Source organism: Homo sapiens, chromosome 14 (genome assembly GCF_000001405.40).
Source record: "Homo sapiens chromosome 14, GRCh38.p14 Primary Assembly".
Classification (NCBI taxonomy): Eukaryota; Metazoa; Chordata; class Mammalia; order Primates; family Hominidae; genus Homo; species Homo sapiens.
Genome location: NC_000014.9, coordinates 58,895,810 through 58,918,653, shown reverse-complemented (window position 1 = coordinate 58,918,653; position 22,844 = coordinate 58,895,810). Strand labels below are relative to the sequence as shown.

The window sequence follows — 22,844 nt, the reverse complement described above, 5'->3', positions numbered from 1 at the left end:
TTGAAGAAATAGAAATCTCATGAGCAGTAATCAAAGCATATGAAGCCTCCTGAGTAGTTAACAGAGCCCACTTCATCAGACAATTCCATTGAGAATAGAGTTGCCCAAGGACATGTTTCTTACTGAATGTATTACCGACTGAAATTCAGCTGCAGAAAGCGACTGAGCTAGAAAGCCTCAACAGTAGAATATAGCAGTGAGAATCTTTCCTGAGACTATATTGGCCTTTTGTCATTGTCAAATCCCCAGATACCATAAGCAAACAAGAGGCAGACTGATGTGTGCCATTCGGGGCAAATCCATGAATAGAACAGTCCCGACAGATAGGTAGTGTAAACCCCCACTACCACAGGCCTGAATGGCTGCACTTCCAAGTTTGACATGAGTCAGTCATAGTCTGTGCATGTGTCAGCTCATCATAAGCATACCTTTCCTGTTTCCACTACAAGAAACGCTCACACATGAGTCTAGATGTTATTAGCTGGAGGAAGCAACTTCCAATAGAGAACATACTAAAAGCACTTTGATTTTCAGGCCGTCCTGTGGGACCTGTTCTTAATTTCCTAGGGCTGCTGTGACAAAGTACCACAAACTAGGTGGCTTAATAAAACAAAAATTTATTATCTCGTAGTTCTGGAGGCTAGAAGTCTGAAATCGAGCAGTTGTCAGGGCCATGTTCTCTCTAAAATCTGTAGAGGAGAATCCTTCCTTGCCTCTTCCTCTTCTAGCTTCTGGTATTTGCCATCAATCCTTAGCGTTCCTGGATTTGAAGATGCATCACTCCAACTTCTCTCTCCGTTGTCACATGGCTATCTTGTCTCTGTGTGAATCTTTACATGGTGCTTTCCTTTTCTTGTAAGACCACCGGTCAGATTAGGATCCACCCTAATAACCTCATCTTAATTCGATTACATCTACTAAGACCCAATTCCCATGTGAGATCACATCACAGCTACCAGGGCTGAGGACTTCAACATTCCTCTTGGAGGACACTGTTCAATACAGGACAGACTATGTCGGCGTAAGGAGCCTGAAGGAATGCCAGCAGATGAACAGGATGCAAACAGAGAGAACTGGTTGCAGAAGACAAAGGAAGAGATTTGTAGCATAAGCGTGGGGCCAATATTTGTGAATTGATCAAACTACTACATTAAGTAAAAGAAAGACTAAGTACACTTCAGATTTAACAACAGGAAGGTTATTGGTTAGGTTAACAAAAACAGTGTCTGTAGGACTAAGACCATATCGCACTGGGTAACAAAGTGGGCAGCAACCATGGAAATGAAGGCCATGAGTTGTAGGCAAGTTTCTCAAGACATTCAGCTGTGCAGAGATAAGAGATAAAAAAGTTAGCTATTGAAGAGAACACTGTGATTTTAAGAAGCACCTCTGATGTCAAGAATTTGGAAGCACTTAACATTTAATGATCTTTTTCCATATTGTATGGCCACTGGTTCATGTCTGTCATGGATTAGAACACTAGACACTAGCATCTTCAAACTGATAACAAAGATTGTATTTGAGAGCATGTTGCTTCCATTTTTAACATATTGCTCGCTGTTTATAATGGGATGGACAAAATGTGCAAAGAGATGGTTTGAATTGGAAGGGGCTTGTTAAACATGCTGCAGTGAGGAGGGTACTTTCCTGTAAAAATTCTCATCAAAATTTACTCCTGGCTGCTGGGTTTAGCTAAGTCCATGTCCATGGTAGCTGCTTGCATCAAGGGCCCAATAAGCTCTTCTGGGATTTGCAAGTCACCTGCCTTTATCTTTCTTTTACCATATGTATCAGTCAGGGTTCTCCAGAGAAATACAACCAATAGGACACACACACAGACACACACACACACACACACACAGATATACTTAAAACGTGTGTGTTTTATTTTAAATATATAGATATATAAATGTTTTATTTTAAATATATATGTGTGTATATATACACACACACACACACACACACACATTTTTTTTTTTAAAGAATTGGCTCACATGATTGTGGGAGCTGACAAGTCCAAATTTGTAGGGCAGGCCGAAAACTCAGGCAGGACTTGAAGTTACAGTCTTGAGGCAGAATTTCTTCTCTGGGAAACCAGTTTTTGCTCTTAAAGCTTTCAACTGACTGGATGCGGCCCCACCGCTATTATTGAGGGTAATCTTCTTTACTTAAAGTCAACTGAGTTTAGATGTTAACCACATTTACAAATTCACAGCAGCACCTAGATTAGTGTTTGACTAAATAACTGGAGACTACAACCTGCCAAGTTTATACATGAAACTGACCATCACACTGTCCTCCTCCCAAGGACCTCTAAGAGGCTGCAGCTTTTGAGAAGGTGTGCCAGTTCTGGTCCCAGCAATCAGGTAGATGTCTATAGGCTTGAATTTAGGCTTTCATAGAATACTATTTTTACAGTGAAATCTATATGGCAAATGGAGCTAATAGCTACAAATTAACCACTTAATACAGTTGGCTCACAGAATTACAGATGCCTGCATTCCTTCTGAAAGCAAAATTTGAACCATGATGTGCTTTACTCATTCATGGTAAAAAGATAAAATGCTATTTTATATTCATGGTATAAAGATACCAGGCCCAGCCTGTGGCAATTTGCTCATTATCTTATAGTAATACTACCTATTACTATCTGGAGGTGTCATTAACCTCCTTTCTCCTTAGAGGAGAATTTAATACAAGGCAGATCCGTCTCTCTCACCATTCAGTAGAGCATTTAATTATCAAAGGATCAAAAGCATCTTGTTATAATGTGGTCAAGCAGCACAGACTCCAAGGGAATTATGAAAGATGGCTTAAGTGTAATTTCCTGAAAGAAAATGCAGTCAACAAAAACTTAGACCACAAAAGATGACAGCTTTTGAATCATAACATGTCTATTTCCATATTCCTATCACAGAAAACTCTATTAAGACAACTTACAACGGAAAAAATCATGCAAATAAAGCAAGAGTGTTTTTCATACAGATATACTGAGCATTTGAAGGTGTCACCAAAGGTGCTCACTCGGGAATGCCAAATACTGTTAGCAGCCCCCTTTAGTCCAGGTCATGATGGGAGACTGCAAAACACACACACACGAAGTGAGGGTCTCCAAACTCTCGAAATTAAATGGTTTAAAACCCTGCATTCTCTAATCACATTCCTTTTATTCAGTGTTGATTTTATTACAGCTTCTCTAGAGGAGATTTTTTTTAATTGAAATGAAATAATATGCCAGCAGAAAGATAGGAAACTCACAATTGCATATACAATACTATCATTTATAACTCATCCTTCCAAGATAAAACCAGCTTACCTTCATAGAAAACCTTGATGGCTTTGTTTGGTGGCTAAAACAATACAGAGAGCCATTTAACATGAGTGATAAAAAAGAAATCATGGAGCTGACTTTCCTGTTTATATTTCCCATTTATATTTCCCATTTCCACCCTGCATATATGATTAGAAGATGTCACTCAATTACATTTCAATTTTCTGCCCACTGCATTCATTTAAAAATTTCAGAAATGTTCTGGAAAAGACAATTTATTGAATATATGCTGAATTTGTCATTAGAAATTGAGAAGTATCCAGCTGCACATTTTGCCCTCTCTATCATTTACTTCAGGATATTGTGCTTTTGATAAGTGGACTATGTTTGGATCTTTACATGTATCATATAGAGTATAGTAATCCCTTACAGGGATTTAAATGCTTTCATTACTAGGTGCTATCAAGAGAAAAGATGTGGGTTATATTAGTGAAGGGGATTATTTTTTATTACATAAATATTTTATGATATATATTTTACATTTCTTGCCCTGACACTTTATTACCACCGACTCTTATTAATTCCATGCTTGATATAAATTAAATGCGAGATTTTGATGTGTGTGGTTGCCAGGGCCTTGAGGGCACAGAATCTCTTCTCTAAGATCACAATTGCTTAACTTCTCCTAGGATTAATTTGCCTAACCACAGTCCCTGAGCTATCTAAGAAAAGGATGATTTGGAAACAGAGCGGCAGGCTTCCGATGCAACAACTCAGAACCTCCTGTTTGTGCAGTTTATGGGAACTCAAAGACAGAGTTCACCCAAAGACATTTTATAAGGGGCTTGTTAATTTAATACGGTCAAACTCTTCATTGTTCAGAAGCTGGTGCACTTGTCTGGGGACTTCATTACTTGCTGGCAGCTCTGTGTGAGGCCAGTTCGGGCTAGGGAAGGTGGAGAAACTCACACACTCCATGGTTACCACTTGTTAGCAACCCTCATTCGTGCAGACGGCAGCGGAAACCAGCTCTGCCATCCTCTGGAACTTAAGCAGGCTCGCCTCACCTTAGTTATCATCACAAAATTCATCAGACTATTTTTATTTTCCCAAGTTCCTCTGATAAGAAAAAGAATGAACAAAGGTAGAAATGCTTCCATGAACAGAATACAATTAAGATCAGGGAGAATGATAGAAAAATAGGGTAAAGAAGATGACATTGGAGAGATAGGCTACAGCAGATCTCAAAAACACGTATGAAGCTAAACAATATAGATGTTTTCTGTAGGCCAGTGTTTCTTAAGTGATTTACAAAGCCCCTGCTAAAGGAAAACAACTATCCCTGACCCCTAGTGTTAAATCATGAAATATAGGTACCTATAGATACATACAAATGTATACAGGGACATATGTGCACATATACGCACACACATATGTACATATATACACCTATGGTACATTTACATATACCCACATATTTTACATTTGCATATTTAGGCATTTCCCAGTCATATTACGTACCCTTCATCGTTGGCTGAGGCTCTTGGCTCTTTGATTCTACCTAATCTTCATTCTGGGATCTAGGCTGATGGAGAAATCCCTTTCTGGGATATTACCAGGCTTATGACAGGAAGGAAAAAGGGAGAGGGCAGAACACTCATTGGCTATGAAAGCTTCCACTTGAAAATAACACATATCACTCCCACTCACTTTTATTTGGCAAATCAAGCGGCACAGCCAAAAAGCTAAAGTCAGCAGGGTGGGAAGTATAATTTTTCCACAAAAGAAAGACCCAGTAAGGAGGGACAATAAACTTTTGAAAAATAGGAGAACTTACATGCGAAATTCAAAACGAGGCTAAACTCTTCTGGCTTATAGATTTTGTGTGGATCTAAACAATGTTATATGAGTCTAAGAATTTTATAAGAAATGTATAAAACCAATAAAGTTCAAATTAATATTTGTTTATTGTGTTAAATGTTTTGGTGAAATGAAAACACCACTCACCAAGAGAAAAATAAAGCCATGCATCACTTTACGACAGGGATATGCTCTCAGAACTGTTTTGTTAGGCTATTTAGTCATTGTGCAAACATCATAGAGAGTACTTACACAAACCTAGATGGTGTAGCTTCCTACACACCTAGGCTCTACAGGATAGCCTGTTGCTCCTAAGCTACAAACCTGTACAACATGTTACTGTACTGAATACTACAGGCAATTATAACACAGTGGTAAGTCTTTTTGTGTCTAAACATATCTAAACATAGAAAAAGGTACTGTAAAAATACAGTATAAAAGATAAACAATGGTACACCTGTATAGGGCACTCACCGCAAATGGAGCTTGCAGGACTGAAAGTTGCTCTGGGTGAGTCAGTGAATGGTGAGTGAATGTGAAGTCCTAGGATGTTATTGTACTACTGTAGTCTTTATAAACACTGTACACTTAGGCTACACTAAATTTATTTAAAGACTTTTTTCCTTCTTCAATAAGGAACTTTTTATTTTTTTAACTTTTCAACTTGTAATAACACAGCTTAAAACACAAATACGCTGTACAGCTGTATGAAAAGATTTTCTTTCTATAGATCATTACTCTATAAGCATTGTTGTTTTTTAATTTGTTATTTTTACTATTTAATTTTTTTGTGAAAAACTAAGACATAAGCACACACATTAGCCTAGGTCTACATAGGGTCTGGATCATCAATATCACTGTCTCCTACCTGCACATCTTGTCCCATGGAAGGTATACGACGTCACTAAGTGACAGGAATTTTTCAACTCCATTATAATTTTATGAAGCCACTGTCATATGTGCAGTCCATTGTTGACTGAAACATCATTATGCAGCACCTGACTGTATTACAAAATGCAAAGGCTCTGGTTTTGTGGTTGTTGCTCGTGTTTGTAATTTAATTAGGCATGCCCGGGCTGTGATGTGACATGTAGTAACTAAATTCTCCTCAGACTTGTCTCTATTAGGCTACTAATAGGTAGTTTGAAAACCGTTCTTTAAAAAGTTTGCTGTCACAGCATTTGACCTTCACGTGGGTCAAACTCATCATTACAAATTATGTCCACTTGTGTACATTTTTCATTAACTTATGACATTTAAAGATGTATAATTTGGCACCAACAGGATCATAAAGATCTATAACACAGTGAAATTGAATGATAGTGATAAGACAGTCAATTAAATGATCCAGAATACACATATTATTTTTGTAGATTTTTAAAAATTGATATTTGAAACACAAAATTCAAGGAAACACCTAGACAACTTGAGCATCACCTCATTATTCTCATAAGAATGTTACTTCAGGGGCCTGGAGATACTGCTCTAGGTGAAAGAGAGCCATCGAAGAATTTAAAGTCAGGGACTTTTATAATTGAAGTTACTTTGGGGAAAAATCATGCTTAAGGCACTATTGGGCACCAGTTTGGATGCATGATGATAGGCCTGGTAAGAGAAAGTGAAGGCCTAAACACAAAGTGGAAAGAAGGAAAAAAATGATGGAAACTAATAAGCATACCAACTTGATATCTGGAAAAAGAAATTTGAAGAAGCAGGGAGAGTTGAAGGGAGAAAAAAAAGTGCATCTGATTTCTGGTCCCTAAGACTTCCATACCAGCCTCCCCGAACAAGGGAAGCTTATGACTAATAAATATCTAGGTTATAATTACTCAAAAATTGGAAAGAACACTGGACAGAGTTAAAAGGTATGAGTTCCAACTCCAGCTTTGCCATTTTCTAACTATGCAACGTTGGGGAAACAACCACCTGAGCTTGTACAGAGAAGATTCATAAGCTCTCCTGCCTATGTCACAAGTTTTTTCAGAGTGCAATATGCAGTGAAACACATGAAAGCAATTTCAGATCTATTGTATTTAGGGTGGAACTTAGTAATTTGTAAAGTGCTGTACAAAATAAGTTATCGTTATGAGGTTAGGCCAGACGTGGTGGCTCATGCCTCTAATCCCAGCACTTTGGGAGGCTGAGGTGGGCAGATCACTTGAGCTCAGGAGTTCAAGACCAGCCCGGGCAACATGGTGAAACCCATCTCTACCAAAAATACAAAAAATTAACCGAGTGTGGTGGTGCAAACCTGAGGAGGCAAGATCACTTGAGCCCAGGAGGTAGAGGTTGCAATGAACCAAGATTGCACCACTGCACTTCAGCCTCTGGAGTAATCTCCCTCTCCAGAGTGAGATCCCATCTCAACAAAATAAATAAAAAATATTGTTATGGGGGTTAATTAAAGTTTTCTCGCCTCTCCTTCTTTTCCTAAATACTGGGCAACCCAATCATAAAGTAATTGAATGGGAAGTTTTGTTATGAATCTCGAGTCTGAGCAGAGCCAGACCCTCTTTTGGCATAATAAGGTAAGAATATAAGCTAAAAAAGAACTATCCTTTATTTGCAAGCAATCTGTTTTTCCCTGAAAGAGTCTACTCTTTCCTGTTCCATCACAACCTTAGTCCTTGAGCTTTCTTTTAGCATTGTCATGCCTCAGGAGAGAATGACCACCCCTGCCAGAAGCTCCACAGATGAGGATCAAGAAAATTCAGAAGAAGAGAATTGACCACAAGGCCAAGGGCCTAAGCTGAGGAGGCAAACAAGAAATGTGGGAAAGGATAAAGGGGGATGCTGACTGATGCCAAGTGGAGCACCTGAGACATCTAGAGAGTCTGTGAGCAAAGTCTCATAGACAAAACCTGTGGACAACACATACAGGGAAGTCAGCAAGAGAGGGTCTATCTGTACTGGTTGGATTATGTCACTAGAACCTCAGGCAAAAAACTGAGGGAACATTCTTTGGGGGCCTGTGTATGCATTTACTTGGCCGAAGGAAGACTTAACCCATTTGCTTGCCCACCTCCTCATCACAGTCACCAGCAGCTGCCTGGATTCTGACAGTAGGAAAGACCAGGAAGCAAATAAGCCAGGTGGGACCAATCACCGGCTGACTAGGAAGACATTCTCTTGACCCTCCCGCCCTTCTCACCAAGGTAAGGAGCACAGCGTCAAACTTACGTTATTTTTTCAAATCCACCCTTCTGCTGGAGTATGGCCGATGATCCTCCAGGAAAGTTCAGAAAGAAATAAACGTCGACCTAGGTAAAGAACAAAGAGCCTTTTGTTGGAAGTAGGTCTTAGAATAGCATTATGATTTGTTGCTGTTTGATGGGTTTTATCTTCTATATTTTGATTCCTGACTTTTCCAAAGTTTTCTGAGACCTTTAAACTAAAAGTAAAATGTAGGTTCTTGGCTACAAGGCCTTGTTAAGGGAAGTAATAAAATATTAAAAGGAACTGTTGTTAAGCTACTGGTCTTCCATCTCACAGAGGGCAATTCAGCTACACACAAGGACATATTGTAGACTTATAGTAAATCAGATTCAGCCACTTTTTAAAGGTGCATTTGAATTCTGCAATGGAAGGGAACTAAAACATTGGAGAATATTGAGGCAGACTCAGAAATCATAATATTTATCAAAAACCAAATGTCACCTTACCCTTTCAGTCCAAAAGGTCATATAATATTATCCTGGAGCAAGAAGTACTGTTGCTCAATATCACAAATGAAACACCAATATGGTTATGCTACTTTACAGGAGCTTTTAAAAGATTATTATGACATGTTCTTTGACAATGTTATGACCATTCCTCCATTTCTTAGGCATCTTAAAGACTGTCTTCTGTGTCAACACCTCCAAAGGCCATGAAACTCTTCCCCCAAATTGTCTGGGTCTCAGTTTCTCACTCCAAAAACCTAAAGAACAAAGCTGCTGATTACTAGCTGTAATGGCCCATGAGAACTTGTGATCTCACAGGTGCTTGACACCCCTGTGAGGCAAGTAACTGGCAAATAGTTATTACTCCTTCTTTAAAAGAAAAAATTTGAATTCAGAAAAGCTGAGTGTGTTGTCAAAAATAACTGAGCAGTTATTGAATAAGATGAGCAAATCTAGTTGTTAAGGTTGGCAAACTGGATTTATCTGGGCTAAATTGCATCCTCCAGCATGGAACTACATTTAGAAGATCAGATGCTACTGCAGTTGAATAGAGGGATTTCTAAGAGTTATCAATCTCAAAGCTGGAAGATTTTAAACAAACCAAAACTATTTTGGGTCCTGAAAAAGCACGAAAAAAATCTAAGTGAATTCAATAAATTTAACTAGTGTAGGCTTGTCAACAAAATAATATGGCTGTTACTGAAATATGCATGTATATTTCACTTCATACTAATGTGTCTCCTGAAGAATTTTATGGTTATACTTATTTAAATTCTATAAATCAAGTTATTATTTTTATTATTTTGAGGCAGGGTCTGACTCTGTCACCCAGGCTGCAGTGCAATGGAGCAATCTCGGCTCACTGCAACCTCTGCCTCGCAGGCTCAAGTCATTATCCCACCTCAGCCTCCTGAATAGCTGGGATTACAGGTGCAGGCCACTACGCTAGGCTAATTTTTGTATTTTTTGTAGAGATGGGGTCTCACTTTGTTGCCCAGGCTGGTCTTGAATTCCTGGGCTCAAGCGATCTGCCCACCTCTGCCTCCCAAAGTGCTGGGATTACAGGTGTGAGCCAGCCTATTTTTTTGTTTGTATAAATTTCTGAAATACAAGTGCAATTTTGTTACATTGACTAGTAGTCAAATCAGGGCTTTAAGGTATCCATCACCCTAGTAAAGTACATGATACCCGTTAGGTAATTTCTCATCATCCACCCTCCTCCATCCCCTCACCCTTCCAAGTCTCCAGTATCTATCATTCCACTCTCTACATCCATTCACATACATTTTTAAGTGCCCGTTTATGAGTAAGATCATGCAATATTTGACTGTCTGTGTCTGGCTTGTTTCACTTAAGATAATGACCTTCAGTTCCATCCATGTTGCTGCAAAAGACATAATTTCATTCTTTTTTGTGTCTGAATAGTTATTCCATTGTGAAAATATATCATATTTTCTGTATCCATTCAACCATTGATGGCACTTAGGTTGAGTCTGTATCTTTGCTAGTGCTGCAATAAACATTCAAGTACAGGTATCTTTTTGATAAATTGATTTTTCCTTTGGCTGTAGATACTCAGTAGTGGAACTGCTCGGTTTAATGGTAGCTCTATTTTTAGTTCTTTGAGAAATCTCCATACTGTTTTCCACAGAGGTTTTACTTATTTACATTCCAGCAACAGTGTATAAGCATTCCCTATTCTCCTCATTCACACCAATGCCTGTTATTTTCTGTCTTTTTAATAATAGCTATTCTGTCTCAGGTAAGATGATATCCCTTGTGGTTTCAATTTGCATTTCTCTGATGATTAGTGATGTTGAGAATTTTTTTCATATACCTCTTGGCCATTTGTATGTCTTCTGTTGAGAAATGTCTATTCATTCCTTTGCCCACTTTTTAATGAGATTATTGAGGTTTTTTTGTTGAGTGGTTTGAATTCCTTGTCTATTCTGGATATTAGTCCCCTGTGAGATGAATAGTTTGCAAATATTTTCTCCCATTCTGCAGGTCGTCTGTTCATTCTCTTGATTATTTCTTTTGCTGGCAGAAGCTTTTTAATTAAGTCCTGTTTGTCTATTTTTGTTTCTGTTGCCTTTGCTTTTGAGGTCTTAGTCATAAATACATTGTTTAGACCAGTGTTTAGAAGATTATTCCTTAGGTATTCTTCTAGTATTTTTACAGTTTGCAGTCTTATTTTTAAGTCTTTAATTCATCTTATTTTTTGTATACGGTGAGATATAGGGGTCCAGTTTCATTCTTCTGCATATGGCAATCCAATTTTCCCAGCACCATTTAGTGAAGAGGGTGTCCTTTCCCCATTGTATGTTCTTGTCAGCTTCCAGTTGGTTGTAAATATGTGGCTTTATTTCTGGATTCCTTATTCTGTTCCATTGATCTATGTGTCTATTTTTTTTTACCAGTACCACACTATTTTGGTTACTATACCCTTGTAATATAATTTGAAGTCAGATAATGTGATGCCAGCATTGTTCTTTTGGCTTAGGATTGCTTTGGCTATTTGGGCTCTTTTCTGGTTTTATATGAATTTGAGGATATTTTTTCTAATTCTGTGAAAAATGACATTGATATTTTGATAAGCAATGCACTGAATATATAGATGCTTTTTGCAATGTGGTTATTTTAACAATATTAATTCTTCTGATCTATGAGTATAGAATGTCTTTCTATTTGTTTGTGTCATCTACAATTTCTTTCATCAGTGATTTGTAGTTTTTCTTGTACAGATATTTCTCCTCCGTGGTTATATTTATTCCTAGCCATTTTTGTAGCTATTATAAATAGGATTGCCTTCTTTATTTCATGCTCAGCTAGATTTTTATTGGTACATAGGAATGTTACTGATTTTTGTATGATGATTTTTTGGTGGAGTCTCTAGGTTTTTTTTTCCAGATATAGGATTATGTCATCGGCAAACAGGGATAATTTGATTTCTTCTCCAATTTGAATGCCTTTTATTTCTTTCTCTTGCCTGACTGCTCTGGCTAGGACTTCCAATATTATATTGAATAGAAGTGGTGAAAGTAGGCATTCTTGTCTTGTTCCAGTTAAAGGAAATGCTTCCAACTTTTCCTCATTAGTATGATGTTGGCTGTGGGTTTGTTGTATATGGCCTTTATTAATTTGAGGTATGCTCCTTCTATGCCTCATTTGTTGAGTTTTTATCATGAAGGGGTGCTGAATTATACCACATGCTTTTTCTGTGTCTACTGAGATGATTATATGGTTTTATCCTTAATTCTGTTGATGTGATGTATCATGTTTATTGATTTGTATATGTTGAACCATCCTTGCAATCCCTGGTAAAAACCCACTTGATCAAGGTGTATTATCTTTTTGATGTACTCTTGGGTTTGGTTTGGTAGTATTTTATTGAGTCTATTTGGCCCATATTCTTCAGGGATATTGGTCTGTGGTTTTCTTTTTTTGTGCATCTTTGTCTGGCTTGGTATCAGGGTGATACAGTCCTCATAGAATGAGTTTGGGAGAATTTTCTCTCTTCAATGTTTTGGGACAGTTTCAGGAGAATTAGTGTTACTATTTCCTTATATGCTTAGTAGAATTCAGCTGTGAATCCATCTGGTCCTAGGCTTTCCTTTGTTGGAAAATTTTTAATTACTGATTCAATCTTGTTACTCATTATTGGTCTGTTCAAGTTTTCTATTTCTTCCTGGTTCAATTTGGGAGGTTGTATATTTACAGGAATTTATCCATTTCCTCTAGGTTTTCTAGTTTGTGGGTGTATAGTTGTTTTAATGGTCTCTGATGATATTTTGTATTTCTGTAATATCAGTTGTAATATCTCCTTTTTCATTTCTAATTTTGTTAATTTGGCTTATCTCTCTTCTTGCTTAGTCTAGTTAGCAGTTTATCCATTTTATTTTATCTTTTCAAAAAACCAACTTTTTGTTTTGTTGATTCCTTGTTTTTGTTTTGGGTTTTTTTTCTCTCTGTTTCACTTAGGTCTGCTCTGATCTTTGTCATTTTTTTCTTCGTCTAGTTTGAGGTTTGCTATGTTCTTGCTTTTCTAGTTCCTTGAATTATATCATTGGAATTTAATTTGTCATCTTTCTACTTTTTTGATGTAGGCACTTAATGCTATAAATTTCCCTCTTAGCACTGGTGTTGCTATATCAAACAGGTTGTAGTATGCTGTGTTTCCTTTTTTGTTTGTTTGTTTCCAAAATTTTAAATTTTCTGTCTTAATTTCTTCATTGACCCAGTGGTTTTTCAGGAGCATATTGTTTAATTTCCATGTATTTGTACAGTTTTCAAAGTTCTTCTTGGTGTTAAGTTATAGCTTTATTCCATTGTTGGTCTGAGAAGATAGTTGACATAATTTCAATTTTTAAACATTTGTTGAGATTCAAGTTGTATTTTAAATATCCAGCAAGAACTCACTATTTAAGGAAAACTATCTTTGTGTGTCTTTTGTAAAAGCATATCCTTTTGGTAATGTGAATAATCACTCCTTTATTTGGGGGCTTTATATTCTCAGAATTGAGAAATTTGTGTTTCCTTATAGCAGGATATGCCCAAAATTTGAATTCATGAGAAAATATTATGTTGCAGCAATTGAATTTTGACAGGTATATAAAGAGTTAAATATATTTATTAAAAGATTCTATGTGTACTGTAGGCAATGGGATGGGAGTTGCAACAGATACCAAGGCAACATTTTTTTTTCTCCTAAACAAAATCTCACAAGTATATTTTTAGACCATGCCAATCTGCTCCTATGGCCTTACATTGTTAAGTATGTCTTTTGTGCATGAGTTGGCCCTAAGAGAGTTATCGTTTTCACAGATATCTGCCTAATTGGTAGCAGCTGCTAATCAAGCACATTGTCACAAATTCTGCAGTACAGCATTCATCCTAAAGGTTTGTGGCTTTTTACATTTTGAAGACAAGCCATATGCCTTAGGCAGCATGGAATGGAGTAGATTTCTAGTAATTACATTGAGTCATGTAATTTGGCCTGAAATATCTGATTTGAATGTTTATTTTGATAAAACTCCCTGAGAAACTGTCAGGTTTTTTTCAACACTTTGTGCTGTTTACACATCACCTAAGAGGAAATGTCCCTTTAGCTCTCTGGTTATAGGTCCCAGGAACAAAGAATTGAAAGGTAGCATGCTATCAGTGGAAGTTTTGGCTTTAGCAAACTGGGGCTTGAATAGATGTGTTGTCATTAATTCTTTAAATTATTCAACTATTTTTAAGTGACTGGATACACTTAACACTCTAGATGCTAGATAAAAAAGTAAGTAATGCATGGTCCTCGCCTCAAAAGCTTCCCTCCACTGGGGGAGGCTTCACTCACCAGAGCACAGAAAGACCAGACTGATGTTCCAAGACACCTAGTCTTGCAGGCTCCTTTATTCTCCAAGCCATGTGCCCTTAAACCTCTGAGGCCAGGTTGAAGTTACCCTGAGTTCACGGAGCCAGGATACCTACTCTTTGGGTTCAGTGCCCACCTTCCAACAGGAGACTATCAGGACTAGATGCAGACATACCTTTCATCCCTGTTCTCAAATCCCAAAGTGTCCACCTCCTGCTCCTTTAATCTATTCTGTAAGCATTACTGTCACCCTAATACTCTTTTCTTCCTTGTACCAGCTCAATAACTTAACCTTTTCCTCCCTGTATTAGTCTGTTTTCACACTCCTATAAAGATATACCTGAGACTAGGTAATTTATAAAGAGAAGAGGTTTGACTCACAGTTCCACATGGCTGGGGGGCCTCAGGAATCTTATAATCATGGTGGAAAAGGAAGCAGGCATGTCTTACATGGCAGCAGGTGAGAGAGAGAGAATGTGTGTGAAGAAGGAACTGTCAGACACTTATAAAACCATAAAGATCTCATGAGAACTCACTCACTATCATGAGAACAGCATGAGGGACACCGCCGTTATGATCCAATCACCTTCCACCAGGTCTCTCCCTTGACGCATGGGGATTACAGGGATTACAATTCAAGATGAGATTTGGGTGGGGACAGAGCCAAACCATATCATTCCACCAATGACCCCTCCCAAATCTCATGTCTTCTCACATTTCAAAACCAATCATGCCTTCCTAACAGTCCCCCAAAGTCTTAATTCATTTCAGCATTAGCTCAGAAATCCATAGTCTAAAGTGTCATCTGAGACAAGGCAAGTCTCTTCCGCCTATGAGCCTGTAAAATAAAAAACGAGTTAGTTCTTTCCAAGATACAATGGGGGTATAGGCATTGGGTAAATACACCTATTCCAAATGGGAGAAATTGGCAAAAACAAAGGGTCTACAGGCCCCATGCAAGTCCAAAATCCAGCAGGGCAGTCATTAAACCTCTAAAATGATCTCCTTTGACTCCATGTCTCACATCCAGGGCACACTGATGCAAGGGATGGGTTCCTATGGCCTTAAGCAGCTCCTTCACAGGCTGGGTGCCTGTGGCTATTCTAGGTGTACAGTGCAAGCTATCAGTGGATCTACCATTCTGGGGTCTGGAGGACAGTGACCCTCTTCTCACAGTTCCACTAGGCAGTACCCCAGTGGGAACTCTGTGTGGGGGCTCCAACCCCACATTTCCTTTTCACACTGCCTTAGCAGAGGTTCTCTATGAGGACTCCACCCCTGCAGCAGACTTCTACCTGGACATTCAGGCCTTTCCATACCTCCTCTGAAATCTAGGTGGAGGTTCCCAAACCACAATTCTTGACTTCTGTGCACCCACAGGCCCAACATCATGTAGAAGCTGCCAAGGCTTGGGGCTTGCACTCTCTAAAGTAGTGGTCTGAGCTGTACCCTCTGAAGTGGTGGTCTGAGCTGTAGCTTGGCCTCTATTAGCCATGGCTGGAGCTGGAACGGCTGGGACATAGGGCACCAAGTCCTGAGGCTGCACACAGCAGCTGGGCCCTGGGCCCAGGGCCCAGGGCTCAGCCCAGGAAACGATTTTTTTCTGCCTAGGCCTTAGGGTCTGTGATGGGAGGGGCTGCTACCAAGATCTCTGACATGACCTGGAGAAATTTTCCCCATTGTCTTGGTAATTAACATTTGGCTCCTCGTTACTTGTGCAAATTTCTGCAGCCAGCTTGAATATCTTTCCAGAAAATGGTTTTTTTTCTATCTCATCGTCAGGCTGCGAATTTTCTAAACATTTACGCTCTGCTTCCATTTTTGTTTTTTCTTTCTTTCTTTTTTTTTTTTTTTTTTTGAGACAGAGTCTCACTCTGTATCCAGGCTGGAGTGCAGTGGTGTGATCTCTGCTCACTGCAACATCTGCCTCCCAGGTTCAAGCGATTCCCCTGCCTCAACCTCCCAAGTAGCTGGGACTACAGCCACATACCACCATGCCCGGCTACTTTTTTTTTTGTATTTTAGTAGAGACAGGGTTTCACCATGTTGGTCAGGATGGTCTCGATCTCCTGACTTCGTGATCTGCCTGCCTTGGCCTCCCAAAGTGCTGGGATTACAGGTATGAGCCACCGTGCCCAGCCTCTGCTTCCCTTTTAAACATAAGTTCCAATTTCAGATCATCTCTCTCAATTTCAAAGTTCCACATATCTCTAGGACAGGTGCCAAATGCTGCCAGTCTCTTTGCTAAAGCATAGTAAGAGGGACCTTTGCTCTAATTTTCAAGAAGTTCCTCATCTCCATCTGAGACCCCCTCAGCCTGGGCTTCATTGTCCACATCATTATAAGCATTTTGGTTAAAGCCATTCAACAAGTCTCTAGGAAGTTGCAAACTTTCCCACATCTTCCTGTCTTCTTATGAGCCTTCCAAACTGTTCCAACCTCTGCCTGTTAACCAGTTGCAAAATCACTTCCACATTTTTGTGTATCTTTATAGCAGTGCCCAACTCCTGGCACCAATTTACTGTGTTAGTTTGTTCACACACTGCTATAAAGACATACCCAAGACTGGGTAATTTATAAAGCAAAGAGGTTTAATCAACTCACAGTTCCTCATGGCTGGGGAGGCCTCAGGAAACTTATAATCAAGGCAGAAGGGGAAGCAGGCACATCTTATGTGGTGGCAGGTGATAGAGAAAGTGTGTGAAAAAGGAACTGTCAGATACTTATAAAACCATAAGATCTTGTGAGAACTCACTCACTATCATGAGAACAGCATGGGGGACACCACCCGTATGATCCAATCACCTCCTACCAGGTCTCTCCCTCAACACATGGGGATTATTGGGACTATAATTCAAGATGAGATTTAGGTGGGGACACAGAGCCAAACCATATCACTCACTTAAGCTCTCAAGTCACCACTCTACTATCAGATTGCTCCCTTCAACCTCAACTTCCCCTTGCATTAAAGGGTTTCCTCCATTTCCCTGCATTAACTAAAAGCTGGCTCTTCCTGAGGATACCTACTCCCACCTAATTATCTCAAATGGAGGTGCTTTATTCTCTCATACACCAATCACCTAGGGTTGGTGTGCTTTTTGTTCCCCAACACCATGTGGCAGAATGTGTTTTCCAAAGGCAGCAATATCCCCCACTTACCTACTCTCCTACCTTGCCTCATAGGCAGGATCTCCCTCCTTCTCAGCAAATATACCTGCATCTGCATAATCGTCCTTCCTTCTGATGAAGGAGGTGGCCCTTCTGCCTAAGGATCACACGCTTTAGCCTCCTTTCATAGCCATGTTTGTCAATAGTTGTTTACCCTTACTGTTTCCTTTTCCTCACTTCCTTCCCACTCCTCAGCCTGCCCTTCATGGCTCTGTCCCACCACTGCACCAATAGAGAAGTAGCTGAGGTCAACAAAGACCTCTAGAGTGCTCATTTTAGTGAATATTTTTCAGTCTTTATTTTAATTGGTGTCAGAGCTAAAGATATAGTTTAAGAGTGAAAAATGGGAATGAAGATTATTCAGGAAGACTTCTGAATATCAAATCAAAAAGAGAAAAATGAAGAAAGAGGAAGGGAGAGAACACTGAGAAAAGAACCTCAGAGACTGTTAATACTTAAAGAATGATGAGAGACAGGAGACTTAGAGGCCATGGTTATCACATAAGAGAACCAGCATAGAACAATATTATGGAAGCCAAAGGGAAGGCAAGAATTCTGAGGGACAGCAAATCCATGTGGTACATAGAGTTCACATAAGATTGAGACTTAAAGTGTCCCTTGGATTTAGGAATTGGGAGGCCAATGGTGACCTAAGCACCACAGAATCGTGGGGCAAAACCTGATTAAAGAGGGTTGGGAATGGAGACACAATTTTAAGAAACTTGCCTCTGAAAGAAAAGGAGAGATCTCAGACAGCAACTAGAAAGAGCTGTTCTTTCAAAATGCAGAGGATTCAGGTGTAGTAAGAATTCAGGCTTAGGGTCAAACAAACTTCAATTTGAACCTCAGTTCTACCACTTAAAAAGCCATGTGAACTTGGGAAAGGTAGCTATTCCTTCTGTGTCTGTTTCCAATTCAGTTAAATAGAGATAGTAATACTTGCCTTGCTGGGTTGTTGTGAGGGTGAAATTAGATGAGAGCTAGGTATGTGGCATGGAGCAATGTTCTATAAATGATAGCCATTATTACTAAAGGATGAACACGAGAAATTATGTTTCTAGGCTAGCAGGAAGAAGCTAATGGGGAGGATTGAAAATAATGGATATATTAGAAAAAAAAGATAATGAAAAGTCCTGTGACCAGAATAAATGAGATTAATTAGCTAGGTGGAGAGGTTCACCTTGACCAGGAAGGGAGAAAGAGGGAGTGAAAAGTGGTGATATAAATGATTGCCTCTGGAGGGAGAGGAGTTGTGAAATTAATGGAGTCCATGACTGATAACCTCTTTTTACCAGAGAAGTATAAGCAAAGATTATCTGCTATTATTAAACATGATGGGACAAGATAATGGCATGAGTAGTAAAGAGTATTTGCTGAAAGGAACAGGAGAAAATGCAGATCAAAGACAATATAAATAGATGAGTATCGCTGAGGGCCTCAGTGAAACTGGAAACCCTAGATAAGCAGTGGCCCCCACCTGTATGTCTATGTGTTCTGCTCCAGCATCTGTCATTGACCTGGGTTGATTGTCCATCTCCCATCACCAAAATGTAAGCTGAGAGTAGAAATTTTGTCCATCTTTTCACCACTACATCTGATGATTGGTGCAGAGTAGATAATAAATAGCTGTTAAAGGAACAAAATTCATGGGTATACAAATGCAAAAAGAAAATCATAAAGATTGCATAAGTTGTGGATGCATAGAATGGAACAATAATTTGGGTGGAAAAGAACTACGGGAGCATATGAGAAAATTATGAGAATGACACAAGTGAATCAGACTGCAATGGGAATGAAGAGAAGCCACAGGAAAATTGCTCAACTGAGATAGAGTTGTGATATGTCACAGCTGTGATACCTCACAAGGCCAGAGGATTTCATGAGTCGAAAGGGGGGGAAAAGATTCAGTGGAAGAGTTTCAATTGACTCTTAAAATTTCAAAGGTGAAACTATTACTGAAGATAGAATATGTCCAATGGATCGAAAAATTAGAAACAAACAGAGACAAAAGTCAATGAAGCTGAAGGTCCAGGAACTGTGAAAGTAGAGTAAAGCTTTAATTATTTTTTGTAGTAGTTTTAGGACCATAAAACAGACTGAAAAGAAACCAAACTGGATCTCTCTCTTTCCAGAGTTATCTGTGTACGTTCCATCTCCCTGCCGAGTAGGGATTGTGCTATACTCACACATGGGACATTGTTAAAGTTAATAAAAGATAAGGTAGAATTTCTTAGTTCCTTCCACTTATACCCACCATTAAGCCAGTGCTGTCAATCAAAAGCAGCACTGTGAAAATCTGTCCAATTCGTGCTCCCAGTGAGGAAGCCAAATGTTAAAGCCAGTGGAAGGTTAGCAATTAATTTAGCAGTAGGGATGATGTCAATGACAGACTGCCTCAAATATCAGTTAAATAATTCTTCCTCTAAATGACTGTTAAGAAATACAAAGATTTCAAAATTTAAAGTTTTACTAAAATCTGATAAAATGCATGTGGGGTGAATTTCCTGAATCATCCAAATACCCAGCCGATTGGTCAGCATTACTCATCCTTTCTGTGGCTCAGTTATCTCACATGCAAAGTAGAGGTAATAAGAGTACTGTATTAGTCTGTTCTCATGCTGCCAATAAAGACATACCCAAGACTGGGCAATTTATAAAGGAAAGAGGTTTAACTGGCTCACAGTTCCACATGGCTGGGGTGGCCTCACAATTATGGTGGAAGGCTAATGAGGAGCAAGGTCACGTCTTACATGGTGGCAGGCAAAAGAGCTTGTGCAGGGTAACTTCCATATATAAAACCATCGGATCTCATGAGACTTATTTACTACCATGAGAACAGAATGGGGGAAATGGCCCCAATGATTCAATTATCTCCACCTGGTCGTGCCCTTGACACATGGGGATTATTACGATTCAAGGTGAGATTTGGGTGGGGGCACAGCCAAACCACATCAAGTACCCTCCCTCTATGGTGTTTGGATGATTAAATGAGGTGATATTTGTAAAGACTTTAGCACAGCACAGGGCCTGGCACATAGGAAAGATTCAAGAAATGAGACCCACGGTTGTGTTTTTCCATGAGAATGAAACAAAGCCCAGGCCTTCTAATCTACCTTCCTATACTCAGTCATTCACAGGAATTGCTATGCACTGCATATTGGTGCTCCCTAAAATTCATGTGTTGAAACCTAATTTCCAATGTGATGGTATTTGGAGGTGGGGCCTGTGGGAAGTGATTAGGTCAGGAGGGCAGAGCCCTCATGAATGGAATTAGTACCCTCATGAAAAAGACTCCAGAGAGCTCTCTTGCCCTTCTGCCATGTGAGAAGACAGTGAAAATATAGCCATCTGTGAACTGGGAAGCAGGCCTTCACCAGGAACTGACACCAAATTTACTGGTGCCTTGATTTTGGACTTGCTAGCCTCAAGAACTGTGAGAAATTTCTGTTGTTTATAAGCCACCCAGGCTATGGTATTCTGTTATAGCAGCCTGAATGGACTAAGACAGAGATAGTAACTCAAAAGTTACTCTGGGCTTCCAGTTCAAGATCAAAGACAGAACATGTGTACTAACTTCCTCTCCCAAAATCACACTGAATTATTGTAAAGTATAAGAAATTCATATATAAAAAGTCCCAAGTATGGCAAGCATGTTAGTTTGCTATGACGAAGTACTATACCACAGGCTGGGTGGCTTAAATAACAGAAATTTATTTGCTTATAATTCTAAAGCCTAGAAGTTCAAGATCAAGGTATCAGTAGGGTTGTTTCCTTCTGAGGCCTCTCTCCTTGGTTTATAGATAACTATCTTCTCCCCTGTGTCTTTGCTTTAAACAGTCTTTGCTTTAAACACGTCTATGTCCTAATCTCACCCTCTTATAGGACACTGGTTATATGAGCTTAGGGTACACCCTAATGACCTCATTTAGCCTTAATTACCTCTTTAAAGATCTTCTCTTTAAACACAGCCACATTCTGAGGTACTGGGGGCTAGGGCTTCAACATATGAATTTAAGGGGACACAATTCAGCCCATAAAAGGAAGTATGGGCATGAAGTAAGAAAAGATCTAGATAAATTTTTGGAAAACAAAAGACAATTGGAAACCAAATGATGGATAATCCAGAGATAGGCACAAATCAGCAAGGGTGAAGAAAAGGCTGAAGTGGATGTGAGTGCCATCTTCAGAGAGGATTTCTGAAGGGCTCCCAGTTCTAAGTCAGCTATGAAGAGTACCTAGGGAAGGAGACCCAAGACAGGGGTAATTGTCTAAAGACCTGAGTAAATAAGGGATAACTGGTGTTGGCTAAGCCCCAGCCCTGCTCATGCAGAGTTGTTGCCATTTGAAGTCAGAATACAGAGCTCTAAGTAAATTGGGCTGTCAACATGGATGGAGCTCAGGCATCTATTATGGGGATGGTATTCCAGAGTAGGACCCTGCTCACCTGGGCCCTGGGAGCCCCAACCTGCCTGATCTTCCTTAATCGTGCAGTCTAACGTGAAGGCTGTCATTGAATACGTATTGCATCCAAAACACAAAGCTTATAATTGGTCTTCACATTCAGGAGGCGATCTATTAGTGAAAAAGATCTATATGAAGATGAAAGACATGCACATCAGCTCCCTATACTAACCAACCTAATCCTTCACTTAAAAATATGACTAAACAAGAAAGGATTATCAGAAATGTGAGGAAAATTAAGAGTACAAGAGAAAAATAAAAGAGGAGCCAACAGAAAAATTAACTCTAAGGGATTCAGAAATAATTCAGGGGAATGGGGAAGGAACAAAGTTGAAATGAAAGAACGATGGAAATCAAGAAAAAGAATTTTAAAGGAAGAAAGAAGGAAACCCATCAGGGCAGTCAACTGTGTTCTAATAGGAGTTCCTGAAGAGAAGGACAATAAAAATGGAGGGGGGAATTATCTGAGAAACAATAAAAGAAAGATTTTCCAAAAGACCAGTCTTCAGGCTAAAAGGTTATATAGTACTGAACAGAATGAAAGAAAAAGGACATAAAAAACTTTAAAACATGAAGATTGAAGAGAAGATCTCCCAAATTTTGACAAATAAAACCCAACTTACTTACAAAAAAGAGAGAATCAGGTTGACATGCTATTTCTTATCAGCAACCACGGATTTTAGAAAAAGAAGAACGAAGGCTTCCAAAGTTCAGGAGAATTATTTTGAATCTAGAGTTCTGTATGCAGAAAAATTCTAATTGACTATAAAAGTAAAATACAGACTTTCAGACATAATATTCAAGATTCCTTCCCATTGATCTTTCTTTAAAAAGCAGATAATCTTTAAAAGGTGAGAATGTACTTGTGCAAAACAAAATAAAAAAATGGAAAAAGTAGGTAGAGACTGTTTGAGGGCAGACAACACTATAAGAACACTAATTTTCTCATGTAATCTCCTTTAAAGTGTTGGCTACATATAATAAATCAAGATATGTATGTTTAACTATATCATCTGAAATTATTAAAGTTACCAATAGAATATCTGAAAATAAAAAGACAAGT

The 22,844-nt window shown here is 39.0% G+C and overlaps 2 long non-coding RNA genes across 2 annotated transcripts in view; both read right to left on the bottom strand.

The window, feature by feature from the left end:
• The window catches only part of LINC01500 (long intergenic non-protein coding RNA 1500), a 189,041-nt gene that overhangs the window by 98,675 nt on the left and 67,522 nt on the right, over positions 1–22,844 (bottom strand). The window contains exon 3 of the long non-coding RNA NR_110547.1: positions 8,312–8,391. This is a non-coding gene — a long non-coding RNA (long intergenic non-protein coding RNA 1500). The remainder of the gene's footprint in view (positions 1–8,311; positions 8,392–22,844) is intronic.
• On the bottom strand, positions 598–4,783 carry LOC124903325 (uncharacterized). Its single transcript, XR_007064195.1, has 2 exons — positions 1,995–4,783; positions 598–1,323 (listed from the first exon to the last, which is right to left on the bottom strand). It is a non-coding gene; the product is annotated as an uncharacterized LOC124903325 (long non-coding RNA).